This window comes from Homo sapiens, chromosome 6 (genome assembly GCF_000001405.40).
Source record: "Homo sapiens chromosome 6, GRCh38.p14 Primary Assembly".
Taxonomy (NCBI): Eukaryota; Metazoa; Chordata; class Mammalia; order Primates; family Hominidae; genus Homo; species Homo sapiens.
Genome location: NC_000006.12, coordinates 3142148 through 3169376, shown reverse-complemented (window position 1 = coordinate 3169376; position 27229 = coordinate 3142148). Strand labels below are relative to the sequence as shown.

General features: G+C 50.2%; 2 protein-coding genes and 1 long non-coding RNA gene across 8 annotated transcripts in view, besides 13 other annotated features; 1 reads left to right on the top strand and 2 right to left on the bottom strand.

The window, feature by feature from the left end:
* Window positions 644-1241: an enhancer, noted in NCBI's record as "H3K27ac hESC enhancer chr6:3168370-3168967 (GRCh37/hg19 assembly coordinates)". NCBI's record gives its function as "activates a minimal SCP1, AML or CMV promoter by ChIP-STARR-seq in primed H9 embryonic stem cells {active_cell/tissue: H9 hESC(primed)}" and the evidence as "EXISTENCE:reporter gene assay evidence [ECO:0000049][PMID:30033119]".
* Window positions 1841-2439: an enhancer, noted in NCBI's record as "OCT4-NANOG-H3K27ac hESC enhancer chr6:3167172-3167770 (GRCh37/hg19 assembly coordinates)". NCBI's record gives its function as "activates a minimal SCP1, AML or CMV promoter by ChIP-STARR-seq in naive H9 embryonic stem cells {active_cell/tissue: H9 hESC(naive)}" and the evidence as "EXISTENCE:reporter gene assay evidence [ECO:0000049][PMID:30033119]".
* Window positions 2440-3039: an enhancer, noted in NCBI's record as "OCT4-NANOG-H3K27ac hESC enhancer chr6:3166572-3167171 (GRCh37/hg19 assembly coordinates)". NCBI's record gives its function as "activates a minimal SCP1, AML or CMV promoter by ChIP-STARR-seq in primed H9 embryonic stem cells {active_cell/tissue: H9 hESC(primed)}" and the evidence as "EXISTENCE:reporter gene assay evidence [ECO:0000049][PMID:30033119]".
* Window positions 2440-3638: a biological region, named in NCBI's record as "hESC enhancers GRCh37_chr6:3165973-3166571 and GRCh37_chr6:3166572-3167171".
* Window positions 2788-3082: a silencer, noted in NCBI's record as "tiled region #12208; HepG2 Repressive non-DNase unmatched - State 4:PromP". NCBI's record gives its function as "represses a minimal TATA promoter and a strong SV40 promoter by Sharpr-MPRA in HepG2 cells {active_cell/tissue: HepG2}" and the evidence as "EXISTENCE:reporter gene assay evidence [ECO:0000049][PMID:27701403]".
* Window positions 3040-3638: an enhancer, noted in NCBI's record as "OCT4-NANOG-H3K27ac-H3K4me1 hESC enhancer chr6:3165973-3166571 (GRCh37/hg19 assembly coordinates)". NCBI's record gives its function as "activates a minimal SCP1, AML or CMV promoter by ChIP-STARR-seq in primed H9 embryonic stem cells {active_cell/tissue: H9 hESC(primed)}" and the evidence as "EXISTENCE:reporter gene assay evidence [ECO:0000049][PMID:30033119]".
* Window positions 5971-6863: a transcriptional cis regulatory region, noted in NCBI's record as "candidate enhancer chr6.179 targeted for multiplex CRISPR interference". NCBI's record gives its function as "positively regulates TUBB2A gene expression with high confidence in K562 cells {active_cell/tissue: K562}" and the evidence as "EXISTENCE:mutant phenotype evidence [ECO:0000015][PMID:30612741]".
* Window positions 5995-6805: an enhancer, noted in NCBI's record as "H3K27ac hESC enhancer chr6:3162806-3163616 (GRCh37/hg19 assembly coordinates)". NCBI's record gives its function as "activates a minimal SCP1, AML or CMV promoter by ChIP-STARR-seq in naive H9 embryonic stem cells {active_cell/tissue: H9 hESC(naive)}" and the evidence as "EXISTENCE:reporter gene assay evidence [ECO:0000049][PMID:30033119]".
* Window positions 6181-6240: a silencer, noted in NCBI's record as "silent region_16848". NCBI's record gives its function as "represses an Ori minimal core promoter by ATAC-STARR-seq in GM12878 lymphoblastoid cells {active_cell/tissue: GM12878}" and the evidence as "EXISTENCE:reporter gene assay evidence [ECO:0000049][PMID:35858748]".
* Window positions 6331-6720: a silencer, noted in NCBI's record as "silent region_16847". NCBI's record gives its function as "represses an Ori minimal core promoter by ATAC-STARR-seq in GM12878 lymphoblastoid cells {active_cell/tissue: GM12878}" and the evidence as "EXISTENCE:reporter gene assay evidence [ECO:0000049][PMID:35858748]".
* Window positions 8635-9229: a transcriptional cis regulatory region, noted in NCBI's record as "candidate enhancer chr6.177 targeted for multiplex CRISPR interference". NCBI's record gives its function as "positively regulates TUBB2A gene expression with high confidence in K562 cells {active_cell/tissue: K562}" and the evidence as "EXISTENCE:mutant phenotype evidence [ECO:0000015][PMID:30612741]".
* Window positions 9941-11676, bottom strand: LOC105374889 (uncharacterized). Its single transcript, XR_926395.3, has 2 exons — window positions 11624-11676; window positions 9941-10945 (listed from the first exon to the last, which is right to left on the bottom strand). It is a non-coding gene; the product is annotated as an uncharacterized LOC105374889 (long non-coding RNA).
* Window positions 11492-11951: a silencer, noted in NCBI's record as "silent region_16846". NCBI's record gives its function as "represses an Ori minimal core promoter by ATAC-STARR-seq in GM12878 lymphoblastoid cells {active_cell/tissue: GM12878}" and the evidence as "EXISTENCE:reporter gene assay evidence [ECO:0000049][PMID:35858748]".
* On the top strand, window positions 11833-15711 carry TUBB2A (tubulin beta 2A class IIa). Of its 2 annotated transcripts, none has more exons than NM_001069.3 (4): window positions 11833-11970; window positions 13225-13333; window positions 13642-13752; window positions 14454-15711. In NM_001069.3, the coding sequence occupies exons 1-4, from the start codon at window positions 11914-11916 to the stop codon at window positions 15512-15514; spliced, it is 1338 nt and encodes a 445-aa protein (NP_001060.1). In that variant the 5' UTR covers window positions 11833-11913; the 3' UTR covers window positions 15515-15711. The 2 variants fall into 2 exon arrangements, with proteins under 2 accessions (NP_001060.1, NP_001297244.1); NM_001310315.2 differs by having other exon boundaries at window positions 14322-15711.
* Window positions 15799-27229, bottom strand: part of BPHL (biphenyl hydrolase like) — a 35203-nt gene continuing 23772 nt past the window's right edge. For 3 of the 5 annotated variants that reach the window (NR_026648.2, NR_026649.2, NM_001302777.1), the window contains one exon: window positions 16179-16889. Coding sequence is in view for 3 of the 5 variants with exons in the window: in NM_001302777.1 (NP_001289706.1) it covers window positions 16802-16889 (88 nt within the window). In the remaining 2 variants the exon portion in view is untranslated. Of the gene's footprint in view, window positions 16890-19232; window positions 19355-27229 lie in introns of those variants that run through there. The other 2 variants (NM_004332.4, XM_047419266.1) reach the window with 2 other exon arrangements.
* Window positions 20676-20837: a silencer, noted in NCBI's record as "fragment chr6:3148774-3148935 (GRCh37/hg19 assembly coordinates)". NCBI's record gives its function as "represses an EF-1alpha promoter that drives an FKBP-Casp9 reporter gene in an ReSE screen in HepG2 liver carcinoma cells {active_cell/tissue: HepG2}" and the evidence as "EXISTENCE:reporter gene assay evidence [ECO:0000049][PMID:32094911]".

Here is a 27229-nt window from a genome sequence, read left to right as displayed (position 1 = left end):
AAGGGTGTCTTGTTGAGAAGATTCAAAGGAGGGGCTACAAAGAAGAAGGTCATCAATATATTGAATAAGGTGAGAAGCGGGGGAGTGGAAAGAAAGTAAATCATGAGAAACAGCTTGGCTGAAGTAATGAAGGCTGTCCCTGAAACCTTGCGGCAGCACAGCCCAGGTAAGCTGCTGGGACTGATGGGTGCCAGGGTCAGTCCAGGTGAAAGCAAAGAGAGGCTGGGACGAGGGGTGCAGGGGAATAGTGAAAAAAGCATCTTTAAGATCAAGAACGGAATAGTGAGTTGTGGAGGAAGGTATTGAGAACGAAAGAGTGTACGGGTTGGGCACCACAGGATGGATGGCAAAACAATTTGATTGATGAGGCGCAGATCCTGAACTAATCTGTAAGACTTGTCCGGTTTTTGGACAGGTAAAATGGGGGAATTGTAAGGAGAGTTTGTAGGTTTTAGAAGCCCATACTGTAACAGGCGAGTGATAATAGGCTTTAATCCTTTTAAAAAGTGCTGTGGGATGGGATATTGGTGTTGAGCAGGGTAACGGTGATTAGGTTTTACTAGGATGGTGATGGTCATGTGATTGGTTGCCAGGGAGGGGGTAGAGATGTCCTATACTTGTGGGTTAAGGTCGGGGGATACGAGAGGAAGACGCAAAGGAGGCTTTGGGTTGGGAAGAAGGGTGGCAATGAGATGCAGCTGTAGTCCAGGAATAGTCAGGAAAGCAGATAATTTGGTTAAAATATCTCGGCCTAATAAGGGAACTGGGCAGGTGGGGATAACTAAAAAAGAGTGCATAAAAGAGTGTTGTCCAAGTTGGCACCAGAGTGGGGGAGTTTTAGGGGTTTTGAAGCTTGGCCGTCAATACCCACAACAGTTATGGGGGCAAGGGAAACAGTCCCTTGAAAAGAAGGTAATGTGGAGTGGGTAGCCCCCGTATCGATTAAACAGGGGATGGACTTACCCTCCACCGTGAGAGTCATCTGAAGCTTGGCATCCGTGATGGTCCGGGGGCTCCCGAGGCGATCAGGCAGCGTCAATCTTCAGCTGCTAAGCCGAGCAGATCTAGGAAGGAGTCAGTCAGAGAGCCTTGGGCTAGAGCTTCAGGGGCTCTAGGAGTAGCTGCTGGATGAGCTGGGCAGTCTGATTTCCAGTGGGTCCCTGCACAGATGGCTTGGGAGCAATCCTGGGCTGTGGGCATTCCTTGGCCTAGTGGCCAGATTTCTGGCACTTGAAACAAGATCCTGATGGAGGAAGTCTTGTAAGAATGCTTGACTGCTGTGGCTTAGGTGTGTGCGGCTTAGGCATTTTGAAGTTCTTGTGTGCTGGAGGTGTGGCTGGGTTTTGTCTCACGGCAGAGGCAAGTAATTGTAACTCAGAAATGCGTTGCCGTCTGGCTGCCTCCTCTCTATTATTGTACACCTTGAAGGCAAGGTTGATTAATTCCTGTTGTGGGGTTTGAGGGCCAGATTCTAATTTTTGAAGTTTTTTCCTAATGTCAGGAGCGGATTGGGTGATAAAATGCATATTAAGAATAAGGCGGCCTTCTGGCCCTTCTGGGTCTAGGGCGGTAAAGTGTGTAAGGGTTGCTACAAAGCAGGCCATGAACTGGGCTGGGTTTTCATCTTTACCTTGGGTAGTTTCTTTAAGCTTGTCATAATTAACAGCTTTGTAAGCTGCCTTTTTAAGCCCTTCAACTAGGCAGGAAATCATGTAATCTCGCCTAGCTATACCTGGGGAATCTGCCTGATAGTTCCATTGGGGATCCTCTTGGGGAACTGCTCTGATGCCTTCCTGGAGGTCTGGCTCATGAAGCCGGTGGTTATCAGCGTGAGAGTGGACTAGAGAAAAAACTCTTTCCCTTTCATCTGGGGAGAGGGTAGAAGTCAGGATGACATTTAGGTCACTCCAGGTTAAATTGTAGGACAGAGTTAGATATCGGAATTCCTGTATATGTTTAGTGGGGTCTGATGAGAAACAGCCTAAACGCTGACTGATCTGTGAGGTCTGATAGAGAAAAAGGTACATGTACCCTGACTATGCCTTCAGCTCCAGCCACTTCTTTAAGAGGAAATTTGGGTAGGTAAAGGAAAATTATAGTAAAGGGAGGGGGTTGTTCTCTGGCTGGCAGGAGTGGGGGTCACAAGGTGCTCAGTAGGGGAGCTTTTGAGCCAGGATGAGCCAGGAGAAGGAATTTCACAGGATAATGTCATCAGTTAAGGCAGTAACAAGCCATTTTCACTTCTTTTGTGGTGGAATGTCATCAGTTAAGGCAGGAACGGGCCATCTGGATGTGTACGTGCAGGTCACAGGGGATATGATGGCTTAGCTTGGGCTCACAGGCCTGACACCCAGGAGGCAGAGGTTGCAGTGAGTCGAGATCGAGCCATTGCACTCCAGCCTGGGCAACAAGAGTGAAACTGCGTCTTAAAAAAAAAAACAAAAAAACAAAAAAACAATATGTCCTTAGAGTACAGAATTTAAGGCGGTGGAGCCTGCTTGCCCAAAATGGTGGGAGGATAATGAGAGGTATAAAAGAACTCTAAATCAAAGAAAATGACCAAGGTGAGTCTCAATCATTTTAGAGGTTTATTTGCCAAGGTTGAAGACGCACTCAGGTTTATTTTGCCAAGGTTGAAGACGCACTCAGGGGGAATAAAGAACACAAAACCATGGGAACATCTGTGATCTGCGCTTTTTCCAAAAAGGGTCTGGAGATGTCAATATTTAATGGAGAAAGAGTGGCAGTGGGGGAAAGAGGAAAGAAAAAATGGGCGGGTAGATAAAAGGAGAGCAGTTGCATTCTTTTGAGACTTTGATCAGCTTTCACTGAATGCACATTTTACATGTGAAAGGAGGAGGTAGAAGGCCAGTCCATTATGCATTTGTCTCAGTGAATCTGCAGTTTTACATTAGATAAAGTAATCACAGGGTACAGGAAGCAGCCAAACGTGCATTTGTCTCTAGTGAGTGGAGGGAGGATCTAGTCCTGTCTTTGTCCTTTACCTATGAAGATGAGCTGTGAATTTACATTGTCAGGGTGAAATTCAACAGAACTGTTATAGGCTAAAGATCTAGGGACCTACAAGGAATTTCCTGATGGGCAAATCATGTGGAAGGTCCCCTAGGGAGGTTTGTGGCCTTTTATCTTTGTAGCTATCTACTTAGGAACAAAAGGAAGGCAGTCTTTGCATGACTCAGTTCCCAAGCTTTTCCCTTTGACTTAATGAGTTTGGGGCCCAGAGATTTTTATTTTCCTTTCACAGAACAAAAAGGAGATGTAACCACCCTTACAATGTCACTGAGGACTAGTTCTGGATCGGTAAGCTAAATTTACAACTGCAGGTAGCTACAGTGGAAATTTCTGTCTCAGGCTGGGCTCAGAGTAGCAGCAACCTAGGTTTTTCTGAGTCAGCCCTGCAGGGCAGAGGTCTCCTTGTAACCCACCTCTGACATATACATCCTAGCCTCTTCGTCCTGCTTCCCCAACGAGGCCTTTCAGCCAGATCTGAGATTGTGACACAGATTCTGATTCTTGCATTAATCTCTGGTCATTTTTAGTAGCTCGTTTGTTGACTCAGCTCCAGAGCCGCTCAGCCTCTGTCCTCACTCCCTCTTCCCATACTTAGCCTGGGCTTTCCCCACCATGGATGGCCTCAGCCTATGCTGTTTTCAGCTTCATTTCTCCAAGGTCACTGTGATATTGTGAAGTATATGTTCAACCTCGTTTTTTGGCATACAACTCCTAAAATTCTTAAAATCTCCAAAGTGATGTCTTTTTTATGCTAATGAATCAGCTGGTGGCTGGCAGCCCCTAGGTAGCTTCAGGATGGGGCTGGTCACTGGAAAGAACAAGGCATGATTAGAGGGTTGGGACTTTCAGCCCCATCCCCTAACCTCCCTGGAGAGGAGAGGGCCTGAAGGTTAAGTTGATCACCAGTGGCCAATGATTTAATTAATCAGGCCTACAAAATGAAGCCTCCATAAAAAACTAACCCAAAAGGACCAGGTTTGGAGACCTTTAGGTAACGGAACATATAGAGGCTACTGGGGGTGGGGCATGTCCTGGGAGGGCATGGACCCCTTGCCCATACCTCACTCTAGGCACCTCTTCATCTGTAACCTTTGTAATAGCCTTTATAATAAACTGGGAAATGTAAGTAAGCATTTCCCTGAGTTCTGTGAGCTGCTCTGGCAAATTAATTGAACCCAAGGAGGAGACCCTGGAATCCCGGATTTATGGCCAGTTGGTCAGAGGCACAGGTAAGACAGCCTGGCACTTGCAGTTGGCATCTGAAGGTGGTGGGGAGAGCCTGGGGGACTGAGCCCTCAGCCTGTGGGATCTGACATTATCTGCTGGTAGATGGTGTCAGAATGGAATGGAAGTTGAGGACACCCAGCTGGTGTCTATGGCAGAATTGATTTCCTGCTTGGTGTATGGGGAAACACCCCTACACGTTGGGTCACAGAAGTCTTCTGTGTTGGCTTTTGTGCTGTGAGAACAGAGGAAAAACGATTTGTGTTTTTTCACTCACAGAGTCAGTATTGGCTTCTCAATGAGATCCATAATGCCTCATTAATTACAAAACTATCCAACCTTAAATGGCATCTGTACATTATGTCAGTATACAAGTATTCATGAGTTAACAAATTTTGAATTTTGAAAGGCCAAGTACATAGAAATATCCAGTTGCACATTGCCTCTCTATCTTATCATGCACCCTAACTCTCCCGTCTTCCCCTAACCCATGTACGACAACCAAGCTGCTCTTGGCCTGTGAGCCCCCTGAGGGCCAGCGAGGGGAATAACTGCCCACAACCCCTGACCACGTACCCAAGTTCCTCCCAAGGAAACTGGGCACCCAAGAAGCACCTCCCCTTCCCCTTTCCACATTCGCTGCTCTGTTAAATCGCCCTCAGAGGGTGTTTCTCCTGCATATTTGTCTCCATCTTCCTTAATCTCCTTCTTTCTTTCAGTTATTAAAAAAATTCTGGGTGGGCGCAGTGGCTCGCACCTGTAATCCCAGCACTTTGGAAGGCCGAGGCAGGCAGATCACTTGAGGTCAGGAGTTCAAGACCAGCCTGGCCAACATGGTGAAACCCTGTCTCTACTAAAAATACAAAAATTAGCCGGGCGTGGTGGCGGGCGCCTATAGTCCCAGCTACTTGGGAGGCTGGAGCAGGAGAATAGCTTGAACCCGGGAGGTGGAGGTTGCAATGAGCTGAGATCGAGCCATTGTACCAGCCTGGGGGTCACAGTGAGACTCGGTCTCAAAAAAAACTTCTACTCATTTCTTGATAACCAGAAAATGATACTAAAAGTGGGTGATGAATGGAGCCAGCTCGAGCTCTGGAGGTCGCTGGCACTCTTTTGGAGGAACTGTCCCATATCATATTAGATATGTTTCATTTTCTATTTTAACTTTTTACATTAAGTATAATTTATACATTACAATATAAAAGTTGAGTTGTCTTTGACTAATTGACATGATATATTCTGTAGACATTTAAATAAACATTCATTTTACTATTGCAATTTTCCTTTTATTTTGGGGTCATTACTCCCCCTACACCCCCCACATCCCAATCCTGATCTCAAACGTTTCCTTAGGTCTGGAAAACTAATTAGCAGTGTGCTTGTGGTGACTACTGGTAAAACTGACCATGCCGGGCAAACTTTAGGTAGTGGAAGTAACAAATGTTCTTCCTAACTGAGAAGAGACACAGAATATATACATTGGCAGCACTACATTTAAGCCAGCCATTGGTGGCATTTCATTAACACTAGCAACAAAACGTGGGGGCATCAAAAAGTAAATTTAACAAAATTAGCCCACCCCCTATTCAGATGTTCCCTATTGTTATTTTTGTACGACAGGGCTGTTAGGCGGAGACGGAGGTTGCAGTGAGCCCAAATTGCGCCACCGCACTCCAGCCTGGGTGACAGACCAAGACTCCATCTCAAAAAAAAAAAAAAAAAAAAGTACTTCGATATTCTCTTATAGCTACAAAAAACAAAAGGCACGTCCTATTTTGAGCGCATCTCCCGCCTAGTATTTCATGAATTTGTGGGGTTGGTTGGTGCTCCCGCTGCAAAGGCCGTCCGATCTTGAGACAGAGGCTCAGGCCTTGCCGGCGACGGGCAGGGACGGGCGGTGGCGGCCTCCAGGGGGAACCCGGGTCTTGGGGCGGGGCGGGGCGGGGCGGGGCGGGCAGGGCCTCCGGGGGGCACAGCCCCGCCCTCCCCCTGCGCCGCGGCCCCTGGACCCCGGTGCCTCTCCCGCCCGCAGGAGGCCCCGCCCCGCCGCGCCGCGCTCTCACCGCGGGGAGGGGGCGAAGCTCAGCCTTTCCCGAACTACCGTTTGCCTAGAGCGTGAAACGGAGCGGGTCGCGCGCCCCGGCGCTCCGGACGGAAGGAGAAGGCAGCGTGGCGGCCCCACCCCGAGTCCCTGGCAGCCCAGACCTGGCGAAGGGTGAAGAAGCCTGGCTCCAGAACTAGGTGGTCAGGGGGTCAGGTAGTAGGAAGCCACGGAGCCGGCTCTCCCGGGTGCCTCGCGCCTCCCGGCGCCGCCCAGCGCCCTCTGCCCTGGACCTGCAGACTCGACGTCTGGGTGGGGGCAAGAGTGTTCCGATGGCGCCTCGGCTCGCGCTTAGCGATCCTGCGCTCGCTCACTCTGCAGCGCCAGCCTCGGGATTAGGGGAGAGGAGTGTAGTGCGGAGCTGTATGCAGAAGAGCGTGCGGCCAGCGGAGACCGCAGTCTCGCCGCATGGGAGCCTCGCAAGTGGCTCTGGAGTTGAGTCCTGATTCCAGAAGAGCTCCAGGGAGGGAGGGGAAGGAGGGAGAAAAAAAGGGAGGGAGGGAGGGAGTGGGGGGAGGACGGGATTAACCCGTTATAATAGCTAATATTTATATAACACTGTGGGGCAGGTGGTATTGTGAGTGCTTTCACATATTCATTCAGTCTTTATCACAACCCCAGGAAGCGGGTACTATTATTACTGTCACTTTACAGATGAGGCAACTAAGGCAGAGAGAGGTTAAGTAACTTGCCGAGGTCACACAGCTAAGAAGTGACAGTGAGGATTTGCACCCAGTCCATCAACTCTAGGCCCTGTGCTTTTCAACAGTCAGGGAACGCGGCAGGAGGGCACTGAGTCCTCTAAACGGCCTTAGTCATGGGAAGCAGAGATGAGTTTGCTCTGTAGATAATTCGGTATGCTCTGGACACCTCAGATTATGGGGAGAATGACAGTTGGGAGTAGGTTACATATTTTTGAGAATTTGTGAGATTATGTCTAAGTCATAGCAGAAGAAGATATAGTATTTCTTCACTCTTAATGTTGAAGGCAAAAAAAAAAAAGTTATAAAGGAACAAAAACACCTAAACAGCCCATGAATAGGAAAAACACAAAGGAATATAATACATCAAGCATTTAAAAAAATCTCGAGAACAGGGGATACACTTGTGCTCTTTAGTACTTTCTAAGTGTTTCTAATTTTATAATCAGGAAATATGTATATAAGATATATGTATATATAATTGCTGTGTACATTGTATGTATTTAAAAAAAACTTGGGGGGTTATAGCTTAATGAGAATTTGACATCAAGAATAACATCTTTGAGACCAGCCTGGCCAACATGGTGAAACGCTGCCTCTACTAAAAATACAAAAATTAATCAGGCATGGTGGTGCACGCCTGTAATCCCAGGTACTCGGCAGGCTAAAGCGAGAGGATCGCTTGAGCCTGGGAGGCAGAGGTTGCAATGAGCGAAGATCATGCCACTGCACTCCAGCCTAGTCGAGACTCCATTTCAAAAAAAAACAAAAAATGACATCTTCAGTTTTGAAAGGCCCCAGATCGACACTTGTAATATGAATGTCACATTCTGGGGCATGGCCCATTCCAGAAAGTGGCTAAAAATCTTCTATATATTTACTCTGTATTATTATAGTCATCTGATGCAAAAAAAAAAAAAAATTGTAAACTTTGGTGGGGTTGATATTTTAAAATTAAATTTAATTGGAGTTCAGACTTTTATTTTAGGTAACCTTTTGAAAAGGTTACATCCCCTTAAATGCTTTGAACAAAATTCTTCCATCTTCATAAAGAGATGCTTTTATTTAAAAAATAGCAGACAGGGGCTGCACTGGATGAGTTTCATGGGAAAGAGAAGTTGGAGCGGAGAGTGTGGCTAGTTCTCTGAGGGCACAAACAGGATGCAAGACTGTACCATACAAATTTAGACAATTGTATTGCTGGGATGGTCCTTGGGTTTTCATCATTCTGCAGAGGAAACTAGTGTTTTTGAAGTTCCAGGACTCTCTTACTTGGACCAACTAAATCTATTTCAACTAGATCACGACTGTCACCCTTAGAGATGGCATCAGTGAACAGTAACGATATCATCATAACACCACATATTCACAGGGTACGTTTCACTAGAACATTCTCACCAGGACCCTTCTCGTTGGGCCCTCTGAAGCAGCAGGCGGGAAGGGCAGGCAAAAGGGTAAGAGCTTATGTCCTTTTGTGAAAGACAGATGTGGCTCAGCCTCCTACCTGGAACACATTCTCTAGTCTGAATTTTGTCATTACACCTGCCCTTCCCCGCCCCCCGCCCCTCACCCCGCCAATGATGCCTTCAGGGTAGGGGTGGCTCAGACACTGCGAGTGGCATCCTGTCTAAAGCAGGAAGTGACTTGAGGCTGGAGGAGGTTGGTCCTCTTCCCCTTCCCCATCCCCGGCCCACCCAACAGCCGGTGGAGCTGCTCCTCTTTAGACACTGAAAAATACATGAAAGGGGAGAGATTGCTCCTTAAAAACCTATTCTAGGGAAGGGGACAATTAGCAGGCTCTATTTCCTCCTGTTATTATCTGCATCGGTGCTGTACAAGGTCGAGTTGCTTAGTGACAGCGAGGTGGGGTTGGGGATATCTACACTTGCCGCGAGGGAGGGGAGAGCAGGAACTCACGGCCTCAGATGAGTCACCTTAGGCAGGGCAGGCATTATTTAAAACTCCGCGTGTGAGTTTCTCTGATTATATACTAACACACATCACGGGCGGCACCGAGGGAGGAGCGCGTCAGAGAGAAGTAGGCTGGGCGTGAACTGCCAGGCAGGAGAAGGCCGACTTGGGCAGAACATTCACTGCCAGCGATCCAGAGCAGACAATCAGGTACCTGGCCTGCGCCCGTGAACACTGCCATGGATTTATTTTCTGTGCGCTCACTAATGTCCAGTTCACGCACAGTGCCTCCCAGCTCCCCAACGTAAGAAAAACCCATTTCCAGAGAAGCTCAGAGAGGTGCAGTGACTTGCTGGAGGACTGAGCTAGGAACAGCAGAGTGGGCACATGCTCCACAGGCCGGGAAACGCCCAGCTGCTAGGGGTCCCCGTGTCCCTAGTGCTGTCCCTTTCAGGTCTCATCCTCTGCTCCTATTTGGCCTCAGATTTCACGCTGAATTAAAACACAAAGGCCAAGAAGCAATTATCTCTGGAAAAATCTTTTCAGAACTGTGTAATGAGTGAAGGTACCCCAAGGAGAGCCATTCTCTGGAGAGGATCTGGAAGGCTCCGGCTGTGGTGAAGAGCCAAGATGTGAGAGTTGGGGTGGGGGTGGGGAGAAGGTGGAGGTCAAGCCCTGGGTACCTGGGAGTAGCATCCGAGGGACAGGTTGTCCACTGGGGGCCCAGCAGCAGGGAGAGGGGAGAGAGGAGGAGAAATTCTAGGAAATCTGTCCCCACCCTGAGAAGAGGCACTAGGCACCTGCCTACCTACATCTGGGAGGATGCTGGGCGCTTCCTAAAGCTGGGGTGATTAAGACCTAACTTGGCCTAAGAGGCTACTCACAGACATCTGGCTTTAGTTTCCACCTCCGATACAGACCAACTATTGAGGTGGCAGGTAGGGTGCACATTAGGAATGACAGCATCATCTTGGGTTTTTTGTTGTTGTTTTTTATTGAGACGCAGTCTGGCTCTGTCGCCTGGGCTGGAGTGCAGTGGCGCCATCTCGGCTCACTGCAAGCTCCGCCTCCCGGGTTCACGCCATTCTCCTGCCTCAGCCTCCCGAGTAGCTGGGACTATAGATGCCTGCCACCAGGCTCGGCTAATTTTTTTGTATTTTTAGTAGAGACGGGGTTTCACCGTGTTAGCCAGGATGGTCTCGATCTCCTGACCTCGTGATCCACCCGCCTAAGCCTCCCAAAGTGCTGGGATTACAGGCGTGAGCCACCGCGCCCAGCCCATCACCTTGGGTTTTACCAAGGCATTTTTACTCCATAAACTCAATGTGCTTTCATATATGGCTTCTCATCTCCTACCACAAAGCCAGCTCCAAGGCACCTGTAATTATCATCATTATATAGTTGGAATGTGCTGGGAACCAAAGGCAGTCCCCAAGCCCCTGTTACCTAGTCCACCGTGCAGGGCCATCTTTGTGAATAATTAAGTCAGGTCCTTACCACAGCCCACCCAAGCCTTTAAAACTCACCTGGGCTTTTTATTTATACAAAGGCTTTAGATTCCTTCCCTTCCTAGCTTTGTGGCTGGTCAGGTCTTTCAACCTCGCTTTCGGAGCTATGAAATTGGGGTAGTAATAATGCTTACCAGAAGCCGGTGGTAGTCAACAAAAATATGCGTAAGTGAGCAGCAAATGGAAACCAAGTATGTAATTTTACATTTTCTAATTTCAAAACAAGTCATTTAACACAATGTATCCAAAACACTATTATTTTGATAGACCATCAATATTTAAGAATCAGTAATGAAATATTTCACATTATTTTAACTTACTGAGCCCATAAAAGCCAGTGTGTTCTTCACACTTAACAGCCCATCTCAGTTCAGATTACCTACGTTTCAATGCTCGGCAGCCACCGTGCCTAGGGTCTACCGAACTGGCCAGCCTAGCTCCGACAGCTTCTGTGAGGATCAGGCGACCTAAGGGGTGTAAGGGGCAGGGCCATCAGCTGACACATCAACGTGGCAGATATATTCCTCCTGTCTTTCCTCTCTGACACACACACACACACACACACACACACACACACACACCCGCAGAATTTTCCACATTTAAAAGGCCTTTACAAGGACGCAGGAGCCCAAAGCGGACATGTGACAAATCCAGCCCTTTGATAGCCCCCCCAACCCCCGCCCCCGACCAAGCCATCTTCCTCCCCTGCAGGGGCGAAAGGCCGCCCACCCCGCCATCCTGGCATTCCTTTCAGGCAGCTGCCCGTCGGCTCCCCGCGGCCCCCCACTCCTCTCCACGCTGCCCACCCCACCCCCACAAACGGCGTCCAGGACCCTGCCCAGGATGCGGGAAACCTTTGCCACCCGCTGGAGAGCCCACTGCAAATGGGTCTTCAATTTCCGGCCCCCTACTCCAAAGGGTACTCGACGCCTCTTCCCGTCCTTAGGAGGCGAGGACCCTGTTCCGAGGCAGCCCCTCCCCCTGGTTCCGGGGCCCCCGGTCCCCAGCCCCCCTCGGGGGTCCAGAGTGGGCGGCTCGGGGTGGGGATCGCGGCGTGAGCGGAGGACCCAGCGCCAGGGGTCGCCCGTGCCCGTGGATCGGGCAGGGGGCTGCGGCTGGGCCCGAGGCCCGGGCACCGCACTCACCGCCGGACCGCGAGGCCGGCCGCCCACCCTAGACCCAGCGGCAGCAGCAATAGGGCGAGCGCCCCCACACCTCGCACCGCGCCCCGGCTCCCCCTCGCGGTGCCGCAGTCCCAGCCGCACCGCCCCCGCGGCCACAGCCCCGCCCGTCATGACGTCACCGGGCAGGGCGGGTCCCCGGGTATAAAAGACCGAGCTGGGGGGGCGGCGGCAGGTCTCTGCGCAGCCCAGCCCGCCGGTCCACGCCGCGCACCGCTCCGAGGGCCAGCGCCACCCGCTCCGCAGCCGGCACCATGCGCGAGATCGTGCACATCCAGGCGGGCCAGTGCGGCAACCAGATCGGCGCCAAGGTGGGCTCACCGCCACGGAGGGGCCCGGGGTTGGGACCGAGGGTGCGGGCTGGGGCCGGGGCGGGGGCTGGAGGCCGCGGCGGCCCCGGGCTGGCCGGGTGGCACATTCCGCGGCGAGGCCGCCGGGCGGGGTCCGGGAGGCTGCATGACCCGCCAGGATGCCCGCAGCGCCGCAGCTGTGTGTGCGTTTAATCGGGGGCCTTTCGATTTCCCTGGGACACAGCCCTTCTGCGGGACGCGGTTGGCATTCCCCTGGGTGTATTTGTCTCAGAAACTTGGGTCGGGGGTACGGTCATATTTATTGCGCTAGCTTCATGTGAATTTAATTTGTATATTTTTCTCTACGGTTTGAATGAAAACATGCAGTGTCACTGGACTGGCAGATGTAACAGAGGCGTCCCTTTGGGTCGTACAGGCAAGGGTGTTAGATAAATTCCCTTGCTCGGGCACTGTCTTGACATGATGACATACAACGCGATAGTCTTGCTGCCAGTCCCCGAGGCGGCAGGTGACTGCGCTGGGTGGGGGCTGCAATTACCGACCGCTGTGTGGGAGGCAGCAGCGGGTCTGGTGCATGGGTGGGGGCGGGCGCCAGTACAAGGACGTGGTCTCTTTGAGAACCGCCATGTTGCCCACCCAGCCTCCCCGCCGCAAATTCACAATGCAGCCAGCGCCCTCACGATGGCCAGCTCCTTCCACTGCCGCCCAGGTGCCCTCCCAGGCTCCTGCTGCCCTTCGCCCAGTCCCTCCGGTGGTCAGTGCCAGCATGTAGATCGGTGGCTTAAACCTGCACTGTTGCAGGAGTGCCTGGGATCTGTGCCAAGAGAGCTTGATCCCTGGAGGCAGCCACAGAGTGGGTCCCCCTGTCCTTGGCCTGCCACGACCCATCAATCATCCCGGATGCAATGGCATTCAGCCCTGCCTGGGGTGACACAGCCTCCCTGTACCCCTTCTCCACTTCTCTACTCTCCCCACCCTCTCCCTAGAAGGGCATCTGCTGTGTCCCCTCCTCCTCCAGGGCCCCTCCCAGCCTTTCAGTCTATCCCCATAATATGGCCGATGCTCTGCGGATTTTCAAGCCCCTCAGCAGCGGCTGCTGCAGGAAATAGGGGGTGCAGCTCTTTGCTCTCTGTCTAGCACTTACTAACTGTCTGACCACAAAAGCCCCTGTTCCAAGGACATGGGAGGAGGACAAGGCCATCCTTAGTGACATTCAGGATGCAGAGCCATGGTGTGGTTCTTTTTTCATTTCAGTTTTGGGAGGTCATCAGCGATGAGCATGGGATCGACCCCACAGGCAGTTACCATGGAGACAGTGACTTGCAGCTGGAGAGAATCAACGTGTACTACAATGAGGCTGCTGGTGAGTAGCGGGATGTGTGTGCCCAGGAATCCTTGCTTTCCATGATGTGGGAGATGAAACGTCCCAGGAACATGCACGTGACAAAGGCATGCTTCTTGCATATTCATTTCAAATGCCAACTGCTGGAAAAACATGTTTTATGGTTTCCTAAGATTCCTGCCTGTTTGCCACGGCTAAGCACACTCAGGACCTCCTTTTTCTTAAAAGCAGAAAATCTCCTGTTCTCCTTTTGTCTCAGATGCTGGAATTGAATGCTGCTGTGAGTCCCTCCCCAAGCACAGGCCTGAGTCAGTTCTTATTTCCTGCAGGTAACAAATATGTACCTCGGGCCATCCTGGTGGATCTGGAGCCTGGCACCATGGACTCTGTCAGGTCTGGACCCTTCGGCCAGATCTTCAGACCAGACAACTTCGTGTTCGGTATGTAGTCATGATCACTGGGAACTGGCCAAATGACACACCTTCTTCCTAACAGCCCTGCAAAGCACAGTTCTTAGTGTTCAGTGCCAAGGTGACACTGTGTCCACGGCAGCCCTGAGTCCTGGCCTAGCTCCATGCAGTCCATGGGTGGTCATGGCTCACAGATCAACGCCAGCCTGCAGAGGGCTGCTGCAGCCCTCCCATTGCAGAGCAGCCTCAGACTGGAAGGAAGAAAGAGCAAGGAAAAGCTTCAAGCCAGGCTTCATAGGCTATAGGCAACTTGAAAGGACTTCAAAGAGCCAGGGGCCAAAAGCACAGGTTATGACCAGAGCTAGACAGATGCTGAGGCCACCTTCTCTGCTGGTCACACTGCCTTCACCTTGCCTGTTTAATTGTAGTTGAGTATAAAGAGAATGCCTCTTAAAAATGTATGTATTTCAGAACCAATTAAGTTTTCTAACCCTATCCTCTTCCTCAATCAATAGCCTCAGATGAGCTAAACTTACTTCTTACTTTATTATGATCCCCAGTGTTTTTGAGGTCACTGACATAGAAAAATATTTCTTCAGGTAAAAGAAGAGTATTCAAAAGAGAAGAATCTGCCAGTCTAAGACCAGTCCTACCTTCTCCTCCATAGTCAAAATGACAGATTTTGAAATTCCTTATGTTTTAGTGTCTAATGTTCACTTTCCCTCTGGCAGGCCAGAGTGGAGCCGGGAATAACTGGGCCAAGGGCCACTACACAGAGGGAGCCGAGCTGGTCGACTCGGTCCTGGATGTGGTGAGGAAGGAGTCAGAGAGCTGTGACTGTCTCCAGGGCTTCCAGCTGACCCACTCTCTGGGGGGCGGCACGGGGTCCGGGATGGGCACCCTGCTCATCAGCAAGATCCGGGAAGAGTACCCAGACCGCATCATGAACACCTTCAGCGTCATGCCCTCACCCAAGGTGTCAGACACGGTGGTGGAGCCCTACAACGCCACCCTCTCTGTCCACCAGCTGGTGGAAAACACAGATGAAACCTACTCCATTGATAACGAGGCCCTGTATGACATCTGCTTCCGCACCCTGAAGCTGACCACCCCCACCTACGGGGACCTCAACCACCTGGTGTCGGCCACCATGAGCGGGGTCACCACCTGCCTGCGCTTCCCGGGCCAGCTGAACGCAGACCTGCGCAAGCTGGCGGTGAACATGGTGCCCTTCCCTCGCCTGCACTTCTTCATGCCCGGCTTCGCGCCCCTGACCAGCCGGGGCAGCCAGCAGTACCGGGCGCTCACGGTGCCCGAGCTCACCCAGCAGATGTTCGACTCCAAGAACATGATGGCCGCCTGCGACCCGCGCCACGGCCGCTACCTGACGGTGGCTGCCATCTTCCGGGGCCGCATGTCCATGAAGGAGGTGGACGAGCAGATGCTCAACGTGCAGAACAAGAACAGCAGCTACTTCGTGGAGTGGATCCCCAACAACGTGAAGACGGCCGTGTGCGACATCCCGCCCCGCGGCCTGAAGATGTCGGCCACCTTCATCGGCAACAGCACGGCCATCCAGGAGCTGTTCAAGCGCATCTCCGAGCAGTTCACGGCCATGTTCCGGCGCAAGGCCTTCCTGCACTGGTACACGGGCGAGGGCATGGACGAGATGGAGTTCACCGAGGCCGAGAGCAACATGAACGACCTGGTGTCCGAGTACCAGCAGTACCAGGACGCCACGGCCGACGAACAAGGGGAGTTCGAGGAGGAGGAGGGCGAGGACGAGGCTTAAAAACTTCTCAGATCAATCGTGCATCCTTAGTGAACTTCTGTTGTCCTCAAGCATGGTCTTTCTACTTGTAAACTATGGTGCTCAGTTTTGCCTCTGTTAGAAATTCACACTGTTGATGTAATGATGTGGAACTCCTCTAAAAATTACAGTATTGTCTGTGAAGGTATCTATACTAATAAAAAAGCATGTGTAGAAAACCTTGTGGTCTGTGTTCTCACTTCAAATAATTTTTATTCTTTCTCTAAATGCTTAAGTATAAAGTGTCAAGGTTTAACTTGCTACTGTTTTTATTGTGGTAATCAAAGTTTAATTTTAATAGCAATGTAGGATTTCTGCTTTAGTGTTTTAATTAATAACATTCCTGTCCTTTTAGTACAGAGTGATGAAAATACATATTTTGTTCACCTTTACTGGCCCAAAGTATTCATCTCTCAAAAGTGAACCAGGAGAGGGATATGGGGTAAAGCAAACCTGCCCCTATCTGCTGCTGTTCTGGACATCCTCTGATCTTAGAATTGAGGACCTCGGGCACGGACTCTCCCTACTTCTCTTTGAATATGATAGATAAACACAAATAAAAACACAAGTGAAGCTTGAACCTCTCAGATAAAAGGTACAGTACAAATTCAAGATGTCTTAAAATCTCCAACATTAACACTACACATTCTCCACCTAAAATTTATTTGAAAATAAATTATGGCAGGAATTCACCTGTTAAGACAATGGTATAACTTGTCACAACTTCATCTTAGAAAATCGGATTTAATTTTCATAGCTATTGAAGTTAGAGGCTTTATTCCTTTTTTATTTTTTTTTATGTTTTTATTTTTTTTTAAGACAAGGTCTTACTCTGTTGCCCAGGTTGGAGTGCAGTGATGCAATTACAGCTCACTGCAGCTTTGAATTGGGCTCAAGTGATCCTCCCACCTCAGCTTCCTGAGCACCTGGGACCACAGATGTGTGCCACTTCGCCTGGCTAATTTTGAAAAACTCTTTTTTGTAGAGCCGGAGTCTCCCTATATTGCACAAGCTGGTCTTGAACTCCTGGGCTCAGGCAATTCTCCCACCTCAGCCTCCCAAAGTGCTGAGATTATAGCTGTGAGCCACCGTGCCCAGCCTGAAGCTAGAGGCTGTTTTCAATATGTCATTATTCTCATTTGGTTAGGATAAGATTGAAGGGAGGGGTAGAAAGTTTCAAAGGCGGAGAGTTTCAAAGGCATCATGTTAACAGGCAGCAACACGATCAAGCCCCACACGAAGGAACCACCAAGACTGGAGTGTGCATTCTCATTGTAGGAAGTCTTCTGCTAACTTGTTGAATTCATCTGCAAAACGCAAATGCAGGTTGTGTTTGCCTTCTGGCATCAAATGCAGCCTAAAAAAGGAATTAAAAATACTTTGGGTCAATGGCCCACCACTTAAGAACAAACCCCTCACTCTCCCCAACATTTCACAAACATCTAAAGTGAAAAATTAACACATTTCCCCCATGACCACTATCGAGGAGAAAAATGTAACCCATCAATCTCCTAAGAATATAGTCAGACACGTGAAACTCTTGGAGTTTATGACTACCCTTGAGGTTGACTATAAGGCAATGACTTAACAGTAGCAGACACACATTATATTTGGAACTGAATCAAGTAACAAATGGTTTGACTGGAAAACGGACTGAGAGTGGGGGAGGTGATCTGGTGGTTACTCTAGAAAAATCCATTTTAATGAAGCTGATTTTAAGAGAGAAGGTTGGTAAGAAGATAAAAATAAGAAATGTTCAGAATGCACTGGGATGGGGCAGGTGAGTTTCTTGGCGTGTTGATGTAGTGGGCAAGTGCAAAGCAGAATTCACAGCCATCCCCAGCCTGCTGCTCAAGGTTCCAAATCACCCTTCCATTTTTGGATTACTGAACAAATACATCTGAATACAAGCCGCCAGACAAATGGCTGTGAGGGTGGTGAGCCCATGCCAGCAGCCCTGTGCTCCAGGAGCCGCTGCTGCAGCTGTCACGGCTCAGCATTGTAGCAAACACACTGTCCTCGTAAGGCTTCTTCCTTTCAACAGGATTGTGATCAAATGGGACAGATTTACAGTTTCCTGAACAAATGCAGCCTTCTCTTTGTTCTACATTTGACTTATTAGCTACAAAAGTATAGAAACAGTAAAAGTGGTAAAGCTTCTAGGATGAAAGCCTAAGTTCAAGCCACTTTGTCTACAATGATAATTAGACATTAAAAGGACAATATTAGGGCAGAATGCGTTATCATGTTCCCTAATTTTTTGAGTTTCAATACTGGGGGGCTGACAGCTCAGAACCTCAGTAGGTGCGAGGGAGGAACTGTGGGGCAGGGAGCTGTGCTTGGAAGATGCTGGGCCTCTTCCAACTCAGCCACCACATTGGGGGTGGGAATGGGGTACCAAGAGAATCAACTTGAAAGGAAGACATATTGTTGGGACCTTTCCGAGGGCCTTGGAACATTAGTAATGCTATTACTAACAATCACGACATTCTAAATTCAACTTTAACACTATTCAGAAAAGAAGGATGAGTTGCACCCACCCCAGAGATAGGATCCCAGTTGCCTACACAAGGAACAGGGCTTGCAGGGACACTCAAGGCCTTTGTTTTCAGGAAACAGGAAAGAACGAATTGCCAAGGATGCTGCGAGGTCATAGAAGGTCACGTATAGGCTAAATTGCATCCCCTAATCTGCACTAAGCTGGACTGGGAGGCAGGGAATCCCCAGCCTGCCACATGTGAAGTCTTTCTCTGTAGACAGTCCAGCCTATCTGGCTATGATTTGTTGGTTTCCCATAAGGAAGGAAGGAGAACCTCGCTGTGAATCGTTTCTTTTTAGCCGTTCAGCACTGTCTGCACTCTTCCTAATCTCTAGATCTTGGGGAAATAAAAATGAGGTTCCCTTCATTAAAATATGGGAGACCTGCTCTGAATGCTGGATGGATGAATGGATGAATAGACAGATGGACAGACAGATAGAAGAGAGTATGAAGACAACTCTTCTCCTTGATATCTTTTAAGGGTCATTTCAAGCTCCTCAGCAGCCCTTGCCTCCTTTAGGTCTGACACAGGTTTCACTGCACAGAAACTCTGTTGTGTGTTCCTCTTTGGAAACAGGACCACAATAGATGGGCATGAATATTAGCTGTCAAGGCAAGACAGGAGCTCTAGATTCTCACCCAAGTAACAAAAAGATCTAATCACATGCTCTGTGGAGAGCACTTTTCAAACAATAACATTCTCCGAAAAATTAGTAGGAAACCCCCAACTGCTAAGCACATGGCTCAGTTGGAAACGAAGGGGCCTCAGAGGATGAACACGAGTTCCTCTGCCAGGGCAGGTTCCTCACTGCATGTGGCACCTTCAGAAAGAGACATGGTTCCAGATAGTCCAAGGAACTAGAAGCTGTCTAACCCCAAGGTAAATGTATGGGTCACTTTACCTCTGTTGATACAGCTCTTTTAGGTCAAAATGCCATAGGTGAGATGCTGGCCTCACGATGCTACCTTTCCTGCCCCGCCTGGAGCCCTTTTCATCTTTAGCTGAACTTTCATCTGTAACTCAGGGAGTTACAGACAGTAACAAGGCCACAAGTAACCTGCTGTGGCGTGCCTTCACCTTGGATCAATGTAACAAAACTTGATCTATGAATCCATGAAGTTGTCAGTGAGTCTGTAATCCGCAGAGTGCCAGTACGTACTTTTGTGTTTACTGGAACCCAAAGCAGGCCGCTGGATCTTTGCACAGGATCTCTTCCAGTGTGAAACTGGGCAGCAACATGGCATATCACTTCTTCAGGCATTCCTTCTGACGCCATCCAAACCTGGTTGCCAATAGCCCCTTTTTATTCAGAAACTAAATATTTTCCTTTTTCATTCTGCTTCTTCTAGAAAGCCCCACCTAAGAAAAAGGTACTAGACTGGGCACGGTGGCTCACGCCTGTAATCCCAGCATTTTGGGAGGCCGAGGCAGGTGGATCACTTGAGGTCAGGAGTTCGAGACCAGCCTGGTCAATGTGGTGAAACTCCATCTCTACCAAAAACACAAAAATTAGCCGGCGTGGTGATGCGCGCCTATAATCCCAGCTACTCGGGAGGCTGAGGCAGAATCACTTGAACCCAGTAGGCGGAGGTTGCAGTGAGCCGAGATCCCGCCACTGCACTCCAGCCCGGGCAATAGAGCAAGGCTCTATCTCACAACAAACAAACAAACAAACAAAAAGGTAATGGTCAAACCACAAGCTCCTTGCTGCTGATGAAGTTGGGGGCTGCCCTGGCTGGCCAGGCTCTCCTCTGGTTAGGGCTGACCAGGCATTTGGGGATGGTGGGGGCGACAGCTCACTGAGCAGCTCCATTTCTCAAAAGCAACCATGTCTCAAGCATTAGACACAAGCATTAGAAGCAAAACTGCCCCGGAGGCTACTTTCTGGGCAGTGTGGCGGCTTGAAGTGGGCTGCTAGAGGACCCTCGGGCTGCTGGGTTGGTGCTTTTAAGTGGTGTGTGGAGGACAAAGCCTTTCCAAATCTGCTGTGACTGTGGGGACCTAGTCGGGCCCTGGACTGCAGGAAAGCTTTCTTCCTGTGACATTTGGATGTAAACTGGAGGCATCATCGTGGGAGGAAAACACTGGCTTTACGGGGCCAGGACAGTTTTGTCTAACCAGCACAGAGTCCATACTGACAGGCTACATCCATCTCCCTGAGTCACAATTCCTCATCTGGAAAATGCGGACAGTAATAGAATCTACCCCATAGAATCATTCTGAGGATGAATGAGATAGTAGATTCAACGTATGCAGCATAGGGTCTGCGGGTACGTGGTAAGCTTAATAAATGTCTGCTGTTATTTTATTAGTATATTTGTATTGCACTTTACAATGTGCAGAATTCCTGAAGGTGTTAATCTGTGCAGCATATTAAACAATGACTGACTCAGGGGAGCACAATTAATCTACATTTGTTGGCTAACACAACACCTCCAACTGGAGGTTTCTTCTCTTAAGAGAGGTTTTAATATAATCTTGCATGTAAGATTTGTCTGGAAAGGTTCAGACCACACTGTTTTTGAAATATTAATACAAAAGACTCAACTTGATAAGCACTGGCTAATTCTGTGTGCAGTAAATCCTGTAACGAGCCCACAAGCAGCGTGTGGAGCTGATGGTTTTCCCTTCCACCTGAGCAGCAGCTGGGAGGAGCTGAAAGCAGCACCTGGGAAGAGGAGGGCTGGGATGCCAGTGGTGGGGAACTGTCACCTGGGGCAGTAGCAGAGGAGCTGGCAAACCACTGCGTCCAGGCTGGAGGCAGTCCAGAACGGAAGCTGCAGCCCTGGCTGCCTGCAGCGTCTACCTCCCCACCAGAACCTGGCTTCACTTTTCTATGGAGCTGAAAATGAACCATTATCACTGGTGTGAATCTTTTCCACCTAAGCCAATTCATTTCACTCCACCTAGTGGTAAGGCTCCCACTGGCCTGCCTGGGAGGACTAGGGCCATCTTACCACTGGTGGCCAGACCCAAACAGCCAAGGAAGCTGCAGAAAGAGGCCCTTCCTTCCCTTCTGTGGTCCAGACAGAGGAGAGTAACTAGCCCACTGCACAGACATCCCAGGCCTGATCCCTCGCTGCCAGCCTGCCAGCACACCCTCTGGTGAACCCAACACAAGGCCCAGACCTCTGTAGAGATGGCATCCATCAGCCCTTCACCCTGTGACTGTACACTTTGTGTCAACTTGACTGGGCTACAGGGTGCCCAGATATTTGGTCAAACATTATTTCTGAGTGTGTTCATGAGGGTGTTTCTGGATGGGTTAGCATTTGAATCCACTGACTGAATAAAGGCAGAGGCCCTCCCCAGTGTGGTGGGTCTTGTCCAATCTGCTAAAAGCCTGAGTAGAACAAGAAGGCTGAGAACAGGGAATTCCTTGGCCTTCAGTCTGCGATATTGGCTTTTTCCTACCTTTGGACTCAGGCTGAAACATTGGCTCTTCCTGGGTCTCAAGCCTCCTGGCTTTCACACTAGAACCACACCATCTCCTCTCCTGGCTGTCAGGCCTTCAGACTTAGACTGGAATCACACCTTTAGCTCTCCTGGGTCTCCAGCTGGCCAACTCACTCTGCAGACCTTGGGACTTGTCAGCTTCCATACTCCATGAACCAATTCCCTAAAATGAATCTCTTTTTTCTACCTATATATACATACACACATATACGTCTTGTTGGTTCTTTTTTTTTGGAGAACCCAAATATGCCCATATACCTACACTAATAATGGTGTTGTCTTAGCTATTCAGGAGGCTGAGGCGGGAGCATCCTTTGAAGTAAGGAGGTTGAGGCTGCCAGGAGCTATGATCGGGCCACTGCACTCCAGCCTGGGCAACAGAGCGAGACCTTCTCTTAAAAAATTTAAAAATAACACAAATAATAATGGTGCTGAAAGTTGGAACAGATGGCAACTTGCCTGACCTAATTTCAAGCTATGCCCCAATGTCCTCTGGGGGCCCTATTCACCTGTATCCATGCCAGCATTCCATCCTCAAAAGTGGCAGCTACTGTCTGTTGAGTATTTTTTATTTATTTATTTATTTTTCAGGTGGGGTCTCATTCCTACACCCAGGCTGGAGCGCTGTGGCATGATCATGGCTCACTGCAGCCTCCACCTCCTAGGCTCTGGTGATTCTCCTACCTCAGCCTCCTGAGTAGCTTGGACTACAGGTGCATACCACCATACCTGGCTAATTTCTTGCTTTTTGTAGAGACGAGGTTTCAGCATGTTGCCCAGGCTGGGTGTGTTAAGTCTTAAATTTAAGTCCAAATGTACAAATACCTCCTCATTCATTCCTCAAAAACTATCTTGAGATGATAGGTATTGTCATGCTCATTTCACACAAGAGGTAACAGTAGTACAGAAATATTACATCCAGCACATGGTGACCAAAGGAGCACTCCAACCCGAACCAGCACTCGCCCAAACCAGCACTCCGACCCAAACCAGCACTCCGACCCAAACCAGCACTCCAGCCGGAACCAGCACTCCAACCCGAACCAGCACTCCGACCCAAACCAGCACTCGACCCAAACCAGCACTCTGACCCAAACCAGCACTCCGACCCAAACCAGCACTCAACCCAAACCAGCACTCCGACCCAAATCAGCACTCAACTGGAACCAGCACTCCAAACCACACCAGCACTCCACCCCGAACCAGCACTCCGACCCGAACCAGCACTCCACCCTGAACCAGCACTCCACCCCGAACCCAAACCAGTACTCCACCCCGAACCAGCACTCCCGACCCAAACCAGCACTCGACCCAAACCAGCACTCCGACCCACACCAGCACTCCACCCCAAACCAGCACTCCAGCTGGAACCAGCACTCCAACCCGAACCAGCACTCCGACCCAAACCAGCACTCCGACCCAAACCAGCACTCAACCCAAACCAGCACTCCGACCCAAATCAGCACTCAACTGGAACCAGCACTCCAACCCACACCAGCACTCCACCCCGAACCAGCACTCTGACCCGAACCAGCACTCCAACCCGAACCAGCACTCGACCCGAACCAGCACTCCGACCCGAACCAGCACTCCGACCCGAATCAGCACTCCAACCAGAACCAGCACTCCAACCCACACCAGCACTCCACCCCGAACCAGCACTCCACCCCGAACCAGCACTCCACCCCGAACCAGCACTCCAACCCGAACCAGCACTCCGACCCGAACCAGCACTCCAACCGGAACCAGCACTCCAACCCACATCAGCACTCCACCCCGAACCAGCACTCCAACCCGAACCAGCACTCCACCCGAACCAGCACTCGGACCCGAACCAGCACTCCACCCCGAACCAGCACTCGACCCAAACCAGCACTCCGACCCAAACCAGCACTCCAGCTGGAACCAGCACTCCAACCCGAACCAGCACTCCAACCCAAACCAGCACTCGACCCAAACCAGCACTCCGACCCAAACCAGCACTCCAGCCGGAACCAGCACTCCAACCTGAACCAGCACTCGACCCAAACCAGCACTCGACCCAAACCAGCACTCTAGCCGGAACCAGCACTCCAACCTGAACCAGCACTCGACCCAAACCAGCACTCGACCCAAACCAGCACTCCAGCTGGAACCAGCACTCCAACCTGAACCAGCACTCGACCCAAACCAGCACTCCGACCCAAACCAGCACTCCACCCCGAACCAGCACTCCAACCCGAACCAGCACTCGACCCAAACCAGCACTCCGACCCAAACCAGCACTCCGACCCACACCAGCACTCCAACCCACACCAGCACTCCAACCGGAACCAGCACTCCACCCTGAACCAGCACTCCACCCCGAACCAGCACTCCACCCCGAATCAGCATTCAAACCCAAACCAGCACTCCACCCCGAACCAGCGCTCCACCCTGAACCAGCACTCCACCCGAACCAGCACTCGGACCCGAACCAGCACTCCACCCCGAACCAGCACTCCAACCCACACCAGCACTCCACCCCGAACCAGCACTCCACCCCGAACCAGCACTCCACCCCGAACCAGCACTCGGACCCGAACCAGCACTCCAACCCACACCAGCACTCCACCCCGAACCAGCACTCCACCCGAACCAGCACTCGGACCCGAACCAGCACTCCACCCCGAACCAGCACTCCACCCCGAACCAGCACTCCACCCTGAACCAGCACTCGACCCAAACCAGCACTCCGACCCACACCAGAACTCAAACCCAAACCAGCACTCCAACCCAAACCAGCACTGCAACCCACACCAGCACTCCAACCCACACCAGCATTCAAACCCAAACCAGCACTCCAACCGAGGTCTGAGTCCCCTGCTGGTGCTCTTAACCCCTCTCCCTCCCCTTTAGTTGACACGAACTTAAGATGCCAACTCTGTGCCACATGGACTTTCCCACCGGGTCTGGCCCTCAGGCCTGGGCTCAGAATACGCGGCTGGTCCTGCACTGGTGACCCCAGCCCATCCACAGAGACATGGCCCTCTGTGCACCTCTTGCTCTCCCTCTCTCTCTTTCAACATGCACTGAGCATGTTCAGATGCTCTAGACCACATCCTGGGATAGGCGGTGGAGTGTTCAACATGGGAAGAATTGCATTCACGTTAGCAGCTGTTAGAGATATGAATAAAGAGGCTGGGTGCAGTGGCTCACACCTGTAATCCCGGCACTTTGGGAGGCCAAGGCAGGAGGATTGCTTGAGCCCAGGAGTTCAAGACCAGCCTGGACAACACGGCAAGGCCCTTTCTCTACACAAAATACATACACAAAAAATTAGCTAGGAGTGGTGGTACGTGCCTATGTCTGAGCTACTTGGGAGGCTGAGGTGGGAGGATCACTTGAGTCCAGGAGTTCAAGGCTGCAATGAGCCGTGATCACACCACTGCACTCCAGCCTGGATGACAGTGCAAGCCCTGTCTCTTAAAAAAAAAAACAAAAAAAAAAAAAAAAAAGAAGAAGGCCAAGTGCAGTGGCTTATGCCTGTAATCCCAGCACTTTGGGAGGCCGAGGCGGGTGCATCACGAGGTCAGGAGATTGAGACCATCCTGGCTAACGCCGTGAAACCCCGTCTCCACTAAAAATACAAAAAATTAGCCGGGCGTGGTGGTGGGCGCCTGTAGTCCCAGCTACTCGGGAGGCTGAGGCAGGAGAATGGCAGGAACCCAGGAGGCAGAGCCTGCAGTGAGCCAAGATCGCGCCACTGCACTCCAGCCTGGGCAACAGCGAGACTCTGTCTCAAAAACAAAAAAAGAGGAAGAAAAAAGGTATAAGGAGCCACATGACCTCAGATAGGTGAGCGAGCAACTGGAGGCGCATGCAGAGGCGAGGAAGCCTCGCTGAGGAGCCGCCTGAGTCCTGGCCTAAGGGGTGGGCACACACCCAGGCAGGCAAAGGCAGGAGCTGAGGGGTGGAGAAGGGCCGCAGGCGAGAGGCGAGGGACTCATCGTTTGCAGTCGAGTCTGAAACCCAGAACCGGGCCTCTGGCTCCTGAGATCGGAGCACCTCCTCAGAAGCACTGTGATGGGCTGAATTGCACCCCTCATATTGATATGCTTAGATCCTGACCCCCAGCATCTCAGAGTGTGACCTCCTTTGGGTAGAGTGTTTAAAGAGGTAATTGATTTGAAATGAAGTCATATGAGTAGGTCCTAATCTATTACGACCGCTGTACTTATAGGAGGAAATGTGGACACGGGAGGCAGAAAGGCAAAGCCTGCTCCCCATCACTGCTGTCGTCTGAGCAGCTCTCATAGTGTGTTTCGTATCTCAGACTGCAGCACAAGTGCTTGTTAGAGGAAGGGCTTCAACCGACTAAAAACACATTTTAAAATCACTGAGCTTGAATGATCTCTAAGGCCTCTTTGCTTAAAATAAAAATAAGCGATTCTTATTTTTCTTCTACCACAAAGAGAGAAGAGAGAAAGAGACAAATTAACATAAGCTGGAAGCAGACCTGCTGAGCAACTCCACCCTTTGTTCAGCCTCCTTCTGAGGCAAGAAAGGCAGTTTGGTGTTTGCTTCACACATAATCTGTATTTCTTGGTAAAAATCTGGGAAGGGATAGTCTGTGCCTTTAAGTGTTTTTTTGTTTGTTTGTTTGTTTTTCAGAGAGGGTTTCGGCTCTTGTTGCCCGGGCTGGAGTGCAGTGGCGTGATCTTGGCTCGCTGCAACCTCTGCCTCCCAGGTTCAAGTGATTCTCTGCCTCAGCATCTTGAGTAGCTGGGATTACGGGTGCCCACGACCATGTCTGGCTAATTTTTGTATTTCTAGTAGAGACGAGGTTTCACCATGATGGCCAGGCTGGTCTTGAACTCCTGACCTCAAGTGATCTGCCCACCTCGGCCTCCCAAAGTGCTGGGATTACAGGTGTGAGCCTGTAAGGGTGTTTTTCTCCTATACTGATGTACTGTGTTGCTAGGAGATGGGCCTAAATTAAACTTTAATTCCTAAATTAAACTTTCTTGTAGACTGACTTTAATTGAACCTGGCTCTTTAAGGGCACATAACACATTTACTATGTGTGTCACTGTGCAAAACCTGTCATTTCTGAAGCTGGAAGACAATTAACCAGGTCACCTGGTATCTTATTCTAGGCATGTTACCATCATACATATTAAGAGATAAGTGGCAGCTGTGCTATGGTGGAAAAGCACCATATTAGGAGAAAAATCTAAGATTAATTATTTACTAGCTATACAACCTTGAAAGATTGCTTAACATCTCTCAGCCATGATTTCTCATCTGTAAAATGGATAATATTTTTCATAAATATGTCATAAACTATAACTAGATACTATATATAAAATACCTTTTAAAATATTAAGTGCTATATGGAGATATCACTTTGTACACTGCAAACGTATACAATCAAAAGCACAAAAACTGAGATTGTATAAAAAACTTTTGCAGGCCGGGCATGGTGGTTCATGCCTGTAATCCCAGCACTTTGGGAGGCCAAGGTGGGTGGATCACAAGGTCAAGAGATCGAGACCATCCTGGCTAACACAGTGAAACCCCGTCTCTACTAAAAATGCAAAAATTAGCTGGGCGTGGTGGCGGGTGCCTGTAATCCCAGCTACTCAGGAGGCTGAGGCAGGAGAATCACTTGAACCCAGGAGGCAGAGGTTGCAGTGAGCCGAGATCGCGCCATTGCACTTCAGCTTGGGCAACAAGAGTG